This window comes from Homo sapiens, chromosome 6 (genome assembly GCF_000001405.40).
Source record: "Homo sapiens chromosome 6, GRCh38.p14 Primary Assembly".
NCBI lineage: Eukaryota > Metazoa > Chordata > Mammalia > Primates > Hominidae > Homo > Homo sapiens.
The window spans coordinates 53866166-53878749 of NC_000006.12; the positions used below are offsets into that span (position 1 = coordinate 53866166).

Consider the following 12584-nt stretch of genomic DNA (forward strand, 5'->3'; position numbering starts at 1 on the left):
TGGGCCACTTGGGGAAGGTTGCCTTCCTCTCCCTTCTTATAATCCTGTACATTTGCATACTTTACCAAGTTATAAAGTACATTCTCACTTTACCTCTCAGTAGACTTGTGAGGTGGAGGAGACAGAGATTCCAGATCCCTTTCACAAGGAAACAGAAGCCCAAAGTGGTTGAAGTTTGACTGTATTTAATGAAGATGCTGGCTGTGGAGTCAGTCTTGATTCCAGTCCCTGTGGGGTTAGTCAGTACGTGTTGTTGAATGCCTGCCAAGGCCCCACACTGTGGCGATGGTGGGGCACAATAGAGAACGATATAGGTCTGGTTCCTGACCTAGTGGAGGATACAGCTAGTGGGAAAGTTATTGAATAGATTTTATGGATAATCACTGCTGAGAAAAACGCTTCAAACAAGGAGTATTGGGCACTGTGGAAGGCCTCATTATTTGGGGGGGATTCATGGAAGATTTAACTGAAAATGTAAGATACTATGTTGCCTTTTTATTAGTGCTACATTAAGTAAGAAATAATTATGAAACATTTTAACATTGTGTACTGAAATACTGTTTGTAATCCAAAATTGATAAAGATTATTCATACTAAAGAATTAAATAGGGTTAGATTTTTAAAGTTTTTGTTACTTTGATTTTTTAAATTATGTATCTTGAAAATGAATCTTAGTTTGGCCAGTTTAATCTGAAGAATTAGGTAAAGAAAAAATTTAAATCTACCCTAAGTCAGATCAGATGATGCACTTCCTCTCTGGTTCCCTTAGACTGAGCTGCTGAAGATTCAGAGACAGCGTTATCCTTGGCTTTGGCAGGTGGCACGCGTCTCTTCACCCTAACTTGTTATTTTCAGAGGCAAGATGTCTTGGTGGTCAAGATCGTGGGTCAGGACTGAGATGGCATAGGGCCAAATCCTGGCCTTCCCACTTACCAGCTGTGTAAACTTGGACGAGTCCCTTACCCATTGGGTGCCTCAGTTTGCTGATTCGGAGAATGGAGATGATAGTAATAGTACCTCCTTAACGTTTTTGTGAAGGTTTAAATGAGTTCATTTGTGCAAAGTGTTGAGAATTGTGCCTCACACTTAGTAGGCGCTCAGTAAAGTTCTGCCGCTGCAGTTTTATGATCAGGGTGGTAAAGGGCCCTCTGAGTGCAGTGAGGCTGGAACCAGGAGAAAGAAATTGGTCTATGCCTGGGCCGAATCCAGGACTGTAGTAATGTTTATATTGCTAAACTATAGATTTCATGTTTTTATTTCTAAAGTATGACTATAAATCTCACTAATTGAAAGCAATTCTAATTCAGAAATAATGATAGCTTAGAGTGGGGTCAGAATTAAAGGTTAGCTTAAGAAAGTTGTAGGAAAAAGATTAATTTTACAATCATTCTTAGACATTTTATAAATATCAAATTTTATGCTTTTATTCTTGATGTATGTAGAACAAGCCCAATTTGAATTAATGAAAAGTATGATTAATTTATTTTTATTTTTATTATTTTTTTTAACCAGGAGTGGTGGCACACGCCTGTAATCCCAAACACTTTAGGAGGCTTAGGCAGGAGGATTGCTTGAGCCCAGGAGTTTGAGACCAGCCAGGGCAAGATAGTGAGACCCTGTCTCTACAAAACATTTTAAAATTAGCTGGGCGTGGTGGCGTGCACCTGTAGTCGCAGCTAGTTGGGGGCTGAGGTGGGAGGATTATTGGAGCCTCGAGATCAAGGCTGCAGTGAGCCAAGATTGCGCCACTGCATTCTAGCCTGGGCAACAAAACGAGACCCTGTCTTACCAAAAAAAAAAAAAAAATTTTTTTGTTTCACCTTATGTAAAAGCTTGAACTGAGTGTTGGTACGTAGTAATTTTGGGTTACATTCCTTAATGAGTAGATGAAAATCTCATTAGTAGTACTAAGTATTAGTATACTAACTATATAATAATAAGTATTTCTAGTACTTTAAGGTACATAGATGGTTATTTAGGGTTTAATCATTATTGCTTCTCAAATAGTTAAAACTAGCAAAAACCCTCTAAATGTTATTTCTATTGGTAATGCTACTCTTTTTTTTTTTTTTTTGAGACGGAGTTTCACTCTGTGCCTTAGGCTGGAGTACAGTGGCCTGATCTTGGCTCACGGCAACCTCTGCCTCCCGCGTTTAAGCGATTCTCCTGCCTCAGCTTCCCGAGAAGTAGCTGGGATTACAGGCATGCACCACGATGCCCAGCTAATTTTTGTATTTTTAGTAGAGATGGGGTTTCCCCATGTTGGCCCAGGCTGGTCTCGAACTCCTGACCTCAAGTGATCTGCCTGCCTTGGCATCCCAAAGTGCAGGTATTACAGACGTGAGCCACTGTGCCCAGCCAATATGATGCTACTCTTCAAATTATTTGGCCTTGAATGGAAAACAGCGGTCATCTCTTTTGATCCCCTCACGTAGTGTTCTAGTGTGCCGTTTATTTTACTCCCCTTTATCCTGCTTAGATTGTAAGTTGGAGGTGTGAGTATCATCTTTTTTATAGGAGAGGGAACTCCTTGTCTAGCAGATTAATTGTAAACAGATCAAGCTGGCATATGGTAATCTGCTATCAAGAGATCTTTCCAGCCTTCTCTCCAGATACTCTCATTTTGATAACCTGTTGTTCAGGCAGACTGTACCATCATTCCCTAGGGATCACCCTCTCATCACTGTGCATCAAATATCACATTCATGCCTGTGCTTCTCCTTTGCTCTTATTTATTTGATTCAAAGCATAGCAGGGTCCTTCTTTGTCTAGCTTCCTCCCTTCTCAACTCCTGCAGCACTTACATTATGATATACTAGCATTATTTAAAAATACTTGTCAATGATCTATTTTACAGGTAAGGAAATTGAGGCACAGATAAGTAGTTTACCCAGGGGCGCAAACCTAATAAGTGCAGAAAACTGGTGCAGATATTGCTCTTATGGCTGTTCGGATTTGATGGAGGACAAATTGAATAGAGAGAGAGACCATTTAAGAGGCTATTGTCATCATCTGGTAGATTGAGGCCTGAACCAGGTTGATAATAATAGGAGTGGACAGAAAAAGATGGACAGGAAAAATAATTAGAGAATACCAAAAGGATTTGGAAATTGGTCATGAGTGTCAAAGAGGGGGATGGTGGGGTCTGGGGGAAATACTCAAATTACAGTTTTTAATGGGGTATTGTGGTCAGGCTAGACCTCATTGAGAAGATTTTTTTTTCTTCATACATTTAGTTTTAAACCTCACATTTGTCCCCAGCAGAACATTTGGGAATCAATTAAAAGTGATTTCAGCTGGGAATAACCTGCAAGCTGTATAGTATCTCTTGTAAGAGATGTGGCACTAAGCGGTTTTCTTAGTGGTACAATAGAGATACTGTATACCACATGAAATAACAATGTTCTGATACAGTCTTTGTTGCATATAGTTTCTCATCCATTCCTTCAGGACCTATGGACTGCGTACAATATGCTTGATACTGTGTGGGCTCTGGAGAAACTGCAAGTGACAAGGTCACCATGGTCTCTCTTCCCAGAGACCTTAGAGTTTAGTAAGGGAGATTTACCATCATCAAACAATTAATTAATTAAAACTGTAACAGATCTTACAAAGGTGAAGCCCAAGGAACTTGAGAGCTGGAGAACCCAATCTAATCTTGGAATTCAAGGAAAGTGCCCCTGAGGATTTAACATGTTAGCTGAGTATTTCAGGGTAAGCAACTTGCTTAAAGCAAACCAGCAATCAAGACTCTTTAACCCACACTATTGCCTTTCTTGTCTAAAGTTTTTATTTTACAGGCAAATACATTCAAAGGGTCAAGCTAAGGACATGGATGTGATGGAAAGAAGTGGTGTTGGGAGTCAGGAGACTTGCGTTCTGTTTACTGTCTGCTACTTTGTGCATACAAGCAATTTAGCCTGGAGAGAGAATTTACCTTCCTGTAAACCGGACCTCTAGGTCTGCTATGTCTGGACTTAGTCCAGCTGTGTTCTCTGGCAATTGTTTTTGTTATCCTCTGATCGCTGAATTCCAGACCAGCTCGACCAGAATTTCTTACAGCCACCATTCATGTGATTTCTCGGTTGGCCCATCTTCTCAGGTCTCAGTGATGCTTCTGTTACTCTGAGTAATATTAAAGCCTTCTACCTAACAGACATACCTTTCGTCTTTTCCCTGTGCTTCTTTGAGTTTTGTTTTTCGTTGATAGAGTAGTAAGCCACTGTAAAATTTATATTTTAATGTGTGGCTTCATCCTCTTCCTCAGTACTTGTGAGACACCTCTTTTCAAATTTTTCTTTCTCATTGCTGTAATTTATTAGGAGGTATCTTTTTTAGTTTTATCTTTAATGGACACATAATTGTACATATTTATGAAGTGCAGTGTTTTTGATACATTTATACAGTGCATAGTGATCAAATCAGGGTAGTTAGCATATTTGTGACCTCAACATTTATAATTTCTTTGTGGTGAGATTGTTCAAAATCTTCTCTTTTAGTTATTTTGAATTTAATAGATTATTGTTTATTCTAGTTACCATGCATACTGTGGAATGGAACACTAGAACTTATTCCTCTTATCTTACTGTAACTTTATACCTGTCAACTTTTTTCCCATCCCCTCCACCCCACTACCCTTCCTAGGCTCTCTTAATCACTATTCAACTTGCTACTTCTATGAGATCAACTTCTTTAGGTTACACATATGAGTGAGATTATGTGATATTTGTCTTTCTGAGTCTGACTTATTTCACTTAAATAATGTCCTCCAGGCTCATCTATGTTGTCTCAAATGACATTGATTTCATTCTTTTTTTATGGCTGAATAGTACATTGTGTGAAATATACACATTTTCTTTATCCATTCATCTGTTGAGGGACACTTAGGTTGATTCCGTGTCTTGACTCTTGTGAATAATGCTGTGATAAACATGGGAGTGCAGATATATCTTTGATATGCTAATTTCATATCCTTTAGATATGTATCTGGTAGTGGGATTGCTGGATCATATGGTAGTTCCATTTTGAATTTTTTGAGGAACCGCCGTAGTTTTTCATAATGGCTGTACTCATTTAGATTCCCATCAGCAGTGTGTAAGAGGTTCCTTTTCTCTGCATCCTTGCCGGTATTTGTTGTTTTTTGTCTTTTTGATAATAGCTATAATAACTGGGGTGAGATGATATCTCATTGTGGTTTTGATTTGCATTTCCCTTGTGATTGGTAATGCTGGGCATTTTTTTCGTGTACTTGTTAGCCATTTGTATGTCTTCTTTTGAGAAATGTCATTCAGATCAGATCTTATGTTCATTTTTAAAAATCAAATTTTTCTTTTTTGCTGTTGAGTTTTTTCTGTATTCTGGATATTAACAATCCCTTGTCAGATGCGTAGTTTGCAAATATTTTCTGTCATTTTGTAGGTCGTCTCTTTATTCTGTTGAGTCTTCCCTTTGTTGTGAAGAAGCTTTTAAGTTTGATAAAATCCCATCTGTTTGTTTTGTTTTGTTTTGTTTCGTTTTTTGAGACGGACTTTTGCTCTTGTTGCCCAGGCTTGGGTGCAGTATCGTGATCTCAGCTCACTGCAACCTCTGCCTCCCAGGTTCAAGCGATTCTCCCGCCTCAACCTCCTGAGTAGCCGGGATTACAGGCAAGTGCCACCATGCCCAGCTAATTTTTGTATTTTTAGTGGAGACGGGGTTTTGCCATGTTAGCCAGGCTGGTCTCGAACTCCTGAACTCAGGTGATCGGCCCGCCTTGGCTTCCCAAAGTGCTGGGATTACAGGTATGAGCTACCGCCCCTGGCCTGTTTTTTGCTTTTGTTGCCTGTGTTTTTGAGGTCTTGTCCAAAGAAATCCTTGCCCAGACCAATGCCATGAAGCATTTCTCCTGTTTTCCTTTGGTAGTTGTATAGTTTCAGGTCTTACATTTAAGGCTTTAACCCATTTTGAGTCAATTTTTATATATGGTGAGAGATAGGGATCTCGTTTCATTCTTCTGCATGTGGATATCCGGTTTTTCCAGCGCACCTAATGTGTGTTTTTGGCACCTTTGTTGAAAATCAGTTGGCTGTAAATGAGTGGATTTATTTCTGTTTTTTAAAAAAAATTTTTATTTCCGTAGGTTTTTGGGGAACAGGTGGTATTTGGTTACATAAGTTCTTCAGTGGTGATTTGTGAGATTTTGGTTCAACCATCAACCAAGCAGTATACACTGAACCCAATTTGTAGTGAGTGGATTTATTTCTGGGTTCTCTATTCTATTTCACTGGTCTATGTATCAGTTTCTATGCTAGTACCATACTGTTTTGGTTACTATTGCTTTGTAGTATGGTAATTTACATTTTCACTAACAGTGTATAATAATTTCCTTTTTTTTGTATCCTTTTGAAGTCAGGTAGTATGTTGCTTCCAGCTTTGTTCTTTTTCTTTAGCATTACTTTGGCTTTTTGGGGTCTTTTGTGGTTCTGTAAGAATTAGAGGATTGTTTTTTCTATTTCTATGAAGAATATCAGTGGTATTTTGACAGCAATTGCATTGAATCTATAGATTGCTTTGGGTAGTATAGACACTTTTAACAATTTTCTTTTCTCTTTTTTTTTTTTTTTTTTTTTGGAGACAGAGTCTTGCTCTGTCATTCAAGCCGGAGTTCAGTGGTACATTCTTGGATCACTGCAACCTTGGCCTCCCACGTTCAAGCAATTCTCTTGCCTCGGCCTCCAGAGTAGGTAGGATTACAGGCATGCACCGCTGCACCTGGCTAATTTTTGTATTTTTAGTAGAGATGGAGTTTCACCATGTTGGCCAATCTGGTCTCGAAATCCTGACCTCAAGTGATCTGCCTGCTTCGACCTCCCAAAGTGCTGGGATTGCAAGTGTAAGCCACCATGCCTGGCCACAATGTTAATTCTTCTAACCCATAAGCACAGTATATCTTTCCATTTATTTATATCCTCTTCAATTTTTTTCATCAGTGTTTTATAGTTTTCATTGTAGAGATTTTTTACCTATTTGGTTAAATTTATTCTTAGGCATTTTATTTTTTGTAGCTATTATAAATGGGATTGATTTTTAAAAATTTCTTTTTTAGGTAGTTCACCATTGGTGTATAGAAGTGCTACCGATTTTTCTTTTTTTTTTTTTTTTAATTGAGACAGAGTCTCACTCTGTTGCCCAGGCTACTGTGCAGTGGTGCGATCTGGGCTCGCTACAAGCTCCGCCTCCTGGGTTCATGCCATTCTCCTGCCTCAGCCTCCCGAATAGCTGGGACCACAGGTATCCGCCACCACGCCCGGCTAATTTTTTTTTTTTTTGTATTTTTAGTGGAGACAGGGTTTCACTGCGCTAGCCAGGATGGTTTTGATCTCCTGACCCCGTGATCTGCCCGCCTCAGCCTCCCAAAGCGCTGGGACCACAGGCGCGAGCCACCATGCCCGGCCGGGAAATGCTACTGATTTTTCTATGTTGAATTTGTATCCTGTAAGTTTATTGAGTTTATTTACTAGTTCTCATGGGTTTTTTATGGAGTCTTTAGGGTTTTCTATATGTAAAATTATGTCATCTACAAACAAGGACAATTTAGCTTCTGCTTTTCCAGTATGGATGCCCTTTATTCCTTTCTCTTGCCTAATCTCTCTGGGCAGGACTTTCTTGTCTTGTCTAGATCTTACGAAAAAAGCTTTCAACTTTTCTTCATTCCATATGATGTTCATTGTGGGTTTGTCATAAGTGGCCTTTATTGTGCTGAGATAATGAGGCATCTCTTTTCTCAGCCTTATAGACTGCTCCTCAGAACCAGAAATAGTGACAAGAAGAGAGACTACCATGGAGTATTCAGGCTGACCAGCACTTTTCAGACCATGGCAAGCCAATGGCATGGCGCGGCCTTGCTTGCCTGAACAGTGATGCTCATCCTGTGATGAATTTGCTTGTTTATTCTTAAGCATGGCAATGCCATGACTTGAACATGGGAGGGCCAGCACTCAGTGAAATAGACCTGTAGTGGTGGGTGAGTCACTTCATCTCTCTGAGCCTTAGTGTCCATTTTGTATAATGAAAGTTAAAATATTTTGAGGAGATTAAATAAGATAATGTTTATAAAAGGGCTACAGCCGAATTTGTACTAAGGGTCCACAAATGTTCGTGAGTTTTAAAAATCTATTCCAGATTCAACTATAGATTTGACAGCTATATATATATGATATATATATAATATTAGTGAAAAACAAACACTATGGTCCTACTTTCACAAATAAGCTATTATATTTATGCTATTACTTTCATAAATAAGCGATTATATTTATATAAACTAGGACCATAGTGTTTGTTTTTCACTACCTCATTTGACCATGCAAGGCAGAAAATAGTGTGAGGAAAATGTTAGCATAGATCCAAATGTTTTACACTTTTAAATTTGAACTAAAATCTTTCATGTAGCATCTGATTATTGTGAGGTTGTTGGAGCAAGACATCCATTTTTTCTTTAATTCTCCCTTTTCCCTATCACCCACAATTTAGAAATATTAAGTATGTTTTGGCTCAGATTGAATGAGTCAGACTGGTGGAAGAAACAGCAAGAACCAGGAGAAATCTTTCTATTTTAGCCATTCTCAATGTTAATATGTCCAAAATAAATGAATTTTTGAAGTTAAATGCTGCAGACTAACCTTTTAAAGGCCTAAAAGCTATAATCTCAAGTTTTCTATCAAGAAAGGAATTTAAAATAGCAACTTTGGTCTTTTAAAAATCACAGTATTTAAAGGCCAGTAAATATGGGGGAAAATGTTCAGCTGCAATAGTCATAAAAAGAATACAAAATAAAATGTTGCCATACTATTTTAGCAATACAATTGGCATTTTTTAAAATGTAAAAGAAAGAAAAGAGGAGGAGAGATGTTGAATACGGCATCTTGTACAGGCTGATGAAAGTATAAGTGGGCATAAGTTGCTGCTCGCAAAAGCAATTTAACAATATTTTTCAAGCTCTGTAGAGATGTTAATGCCTTTGACACAGTAATTCTACTTCTGGGAACATAGCCTAAGGAAATAATCAGGAATGCACATACATATAACATCAGGAACTTTGAAACAACCTAAATGCCCAACAATGGAGGATTGATTAAATGAAATATGAAAATATATACAATGTGCTTTTCTGCCATTAAGAACAGCAAACTACTTGGAGAAATAATGATAAGAGAAAAAAGCTTGTAAAGTAATGTAAGGTGCAAAAAACAAATTATCATGAACTTAGTATTGTGAAATATAATCTATTTATACACATATTCTGTGTGTATATGTGTGTGCACACGTGTGTGTGTGACAAGTAAAAAAAAAAATCACAATAAAAGATTACCTCTAGGTGATGAGAGTGTTGGTGGTGTTTATTTTCTTCTTTGTATATTTTACAAATATTTATGTTTGTAATCAGGAAAAAAATCGTAATTTAAAAGTGCACTACTTTGGAATACCTGGTACTGATACCACCACATGAAAATATAAGGAAAAGAAAGTCTAAAGGTAATTACAACAGAATGCCATCAGTGCTTTTGATAGAGTGATGGGACTTGATGGTGGTAGTGGCGGTTTTTGTTATTTTATTATTTAAATGATTTGTTAAATAATTGTACATATGTATGGGTACATAGTGATGCTTTGATACATATAATGTACTGTGTAATTACAAGGTAATTAGCATACTCATCTAAAGCATTTATCATTTCTTTGTGTTAGGAACTTTCTATATCCTCCTTTCACCCATTTGAAACTATATATTATTGTTAACTGTAGTCATCTTACAGTGCTATACAACAGCAGTTCTCAACTTTTTTTGGCACCACGGACCGGTTTTGTGGAAGACAGTTGTATTAGTCCATTTTCACACTGCTGGTAAAGACATATCCGAGACTGGGCAATTTAAGACAGAAGGGGGTTTAATTTGACTCACAGTTCCATCTGACTAGGGAGGCCTCACAATCATGGTGGAAGACAAGGGGGAGCAAGTCACATCTTATGTGGATGGTGGCAGGCAAAGAGAGCTTGTGCAGGGAAACTCCCCCTTATAATAACTATCAGATCTTGTGAGACTTACTTACTGTCATGAGAACAGCTCAGAAAGACCTGCCCCCATGATTCAGTTACCTCCTACCGGGTCCCTCCCACAACACATGGGAATTCAAGATGAGATTTGGATGGGGACACAGCCAAACCATATCATTCTGCCCCTGGCCCCTCCCAAATCTCATGTCCTCACATTTCAAAACCAATCATGCCTTCCCAACAATCCCCCAAACTCTTAACTCATTTCAGCATTAACTCAAAAGTCCACAGTCCAAATCTTATCCAAGACAAGGCAAGTCCCTTCCATCTATGAGCCTGTAAAATCAAAAGCAAGTTAGTTACTTCCTAGATACAATGGCAGTGCAGGCATTGAATAAATACAGCCATTCCAAATGGGAGACATTGGCCAAAACAAAGGAGCTGCAGGCCCCATACAAGTCTGAAATCCAGCAGGGCGGTCAAATCTTAAAGCTCCAAAATGATCTCCTTTGACTCCATGTCTCACATCCAGGTCATGCTGATGTAAGAGGTATGTTCCCACGGTCTTGGACAGCTCTGCCCCTGTGACTTTGCAGGGTATAACCCCTTACCTGGCTGCTTTCACGGGCTGGCCTTGACTGTCTGGTGGCTTTTCCAGGTGCACAGTGCTATCTGTTGGTGGATCTACCATTCTGGGGTCTGGAGAATAACGGCCCTCTTCTCGCAGTTCCACTAGGCACTGCCCCAGTAGGGATTCTGTGTGGGTGCTCCAACCCCTCATTTCCTTTCTGTACTGCCCTAGCAGAGGTTTCCCACGAGGGCCTTGCCCCTGAAGCAAACTTTTGCCTGGGCATCCAGGCATTTCCATACATCTTCTGAAATCTAGCCAGAGGTTCCCAAACCTCAATTCTTGATTTCTGTGTACCCGCAAGCTCAACACTATGTGGAAGCTGCCAAGGTTTGGGGCTTCCACCCTCTGAAGCAACAGCCCAAGCTATACTTTGGCCCCTTTTAGTCAGAGCTGGAGTGGCTGGGATGCAGGGCACCAGGTCCCTAGACTGCACACAACATGGGGACCCTGGACCGGGCCCAGGAAACAATTTTCTCCTAGGCCTCTGGGCCTGTGATAGGAGGGGCTGCCATGAAGACCTTTGAACATGCCCTGGAGACATTTTTGTCATTGTCTCAGGGATTAACATTCAGCTTCTCGTTACTTATGCAAGTTTCTTCAGCCAGCTTGAATTTCTCCTCAGAAAATGTTTTTTTTTCTATCATGTTGTCAGCCTGTAAATTTCCCAAATTTTATGCTCTGCTTCCCTTATAAACTGAATGCCTTTAACAGCACCCAAGTCACCTCTTGAATGTTTTGCTGCTTAGAAATTTCTTTCACCAGATACCTATATCATCTCTCTCAAGTTCAAAGTTCCACAAATCTCTAGGGTAGGGGCAAAATGCTGCCAGTCTCTTTGCTAAAACATAACAAGTCACCTTTGCTCCAGTTCCCAACAAGTTCCTCATCTCCCACCTCAGCCTGAACTTTATTATCCATATTGCTATCAGGCTTTTGGTCAAAGCCATTCAACAAATCTCTAGGAAGTTCCAAACTTTCCCACGTTTTCCTGTCTTCTGAGCCCTCCAGACTGCTCCAGCCTCCGCCTGTGAACCGGTTCCAAAGTTGCTTCCACATTTTTGGGTATCTTTTCAGCAGCAACCCACTCTACTGGTACCAGTTTACTCTGTTAGTCTGTTTTCATGCTGCTGATAAAGACATACAAAAGAAAGAGGTTTAATGGACTTACAGTTCCACATGGCTAGGGAGGCCTCACAATCACGGTGGAAGGCAAGGAGGAGGGAGTCACATCTTATGTGGATGACGACAGGCAAAGAGAGCTTGTGCAGGAAAACTCCCCCTTATAATAACCATCAGGTCTCGTGAAACTTACTATCATGAGAACAGCACAGGAAAGACCTGCCCCCATGATTCAATTACCTCCTACTGGGTCCCTCCCACAACACATGGGAATTCAAGATGAGATTTGGGTGGGGACACAACCAAATCATATGAGCAGTTTTTCCACAGACCAGTGTTGGGAATGGTTCTGGGACAAATGAAGCTCATTACATTTACTGTGCACTTTATTTCTATTATTATTACATTGTAATATATAATGAAATAATTATACAACTCACCATAAGGTAGATTCAATGGGAGCCCTGAGCTTGTTTTCCTGCAACTGGACAGTCCCATCTGGGGGTGATGGGAAACAGATCATCAGGCATTAGATTCTCATAAGGAGCACACAACCTAGATCCCTCGCATGGGCAGTTGACAATAGGGCTCATGCTCTTATGAGAATCTAATGTGGGCGCTGATCTGACAGTAGGTGGAGCTCAGGCAGTAATGCAAGTGATGGGGAGTGGCTGTAAATATGGATGAAGCTTTGCTCACCCGCCTGCCGCTCACCTCCTGCTGTGCATCCCGGTTCCTCACAGGTACTGGTTTGTAGCTCAGGGATTGGGGACCCCTGCCATAGAACACTAGAACTTACTCC

General features: G+C 39.8%; 1 protein-coding gene across 5 annotated transcripts in view; it reads left to right on the plus strand.

Moving 5' to 3' along the window:
• The window catches only part of LRRC1 (leucine rich repeat containing 1), a 129121-nt gene that overhangs the window by 71161 nt on the left and 45376 nt on the right, over positions 1-12584 (plus strand). The window lies entirely within an intron of this gene.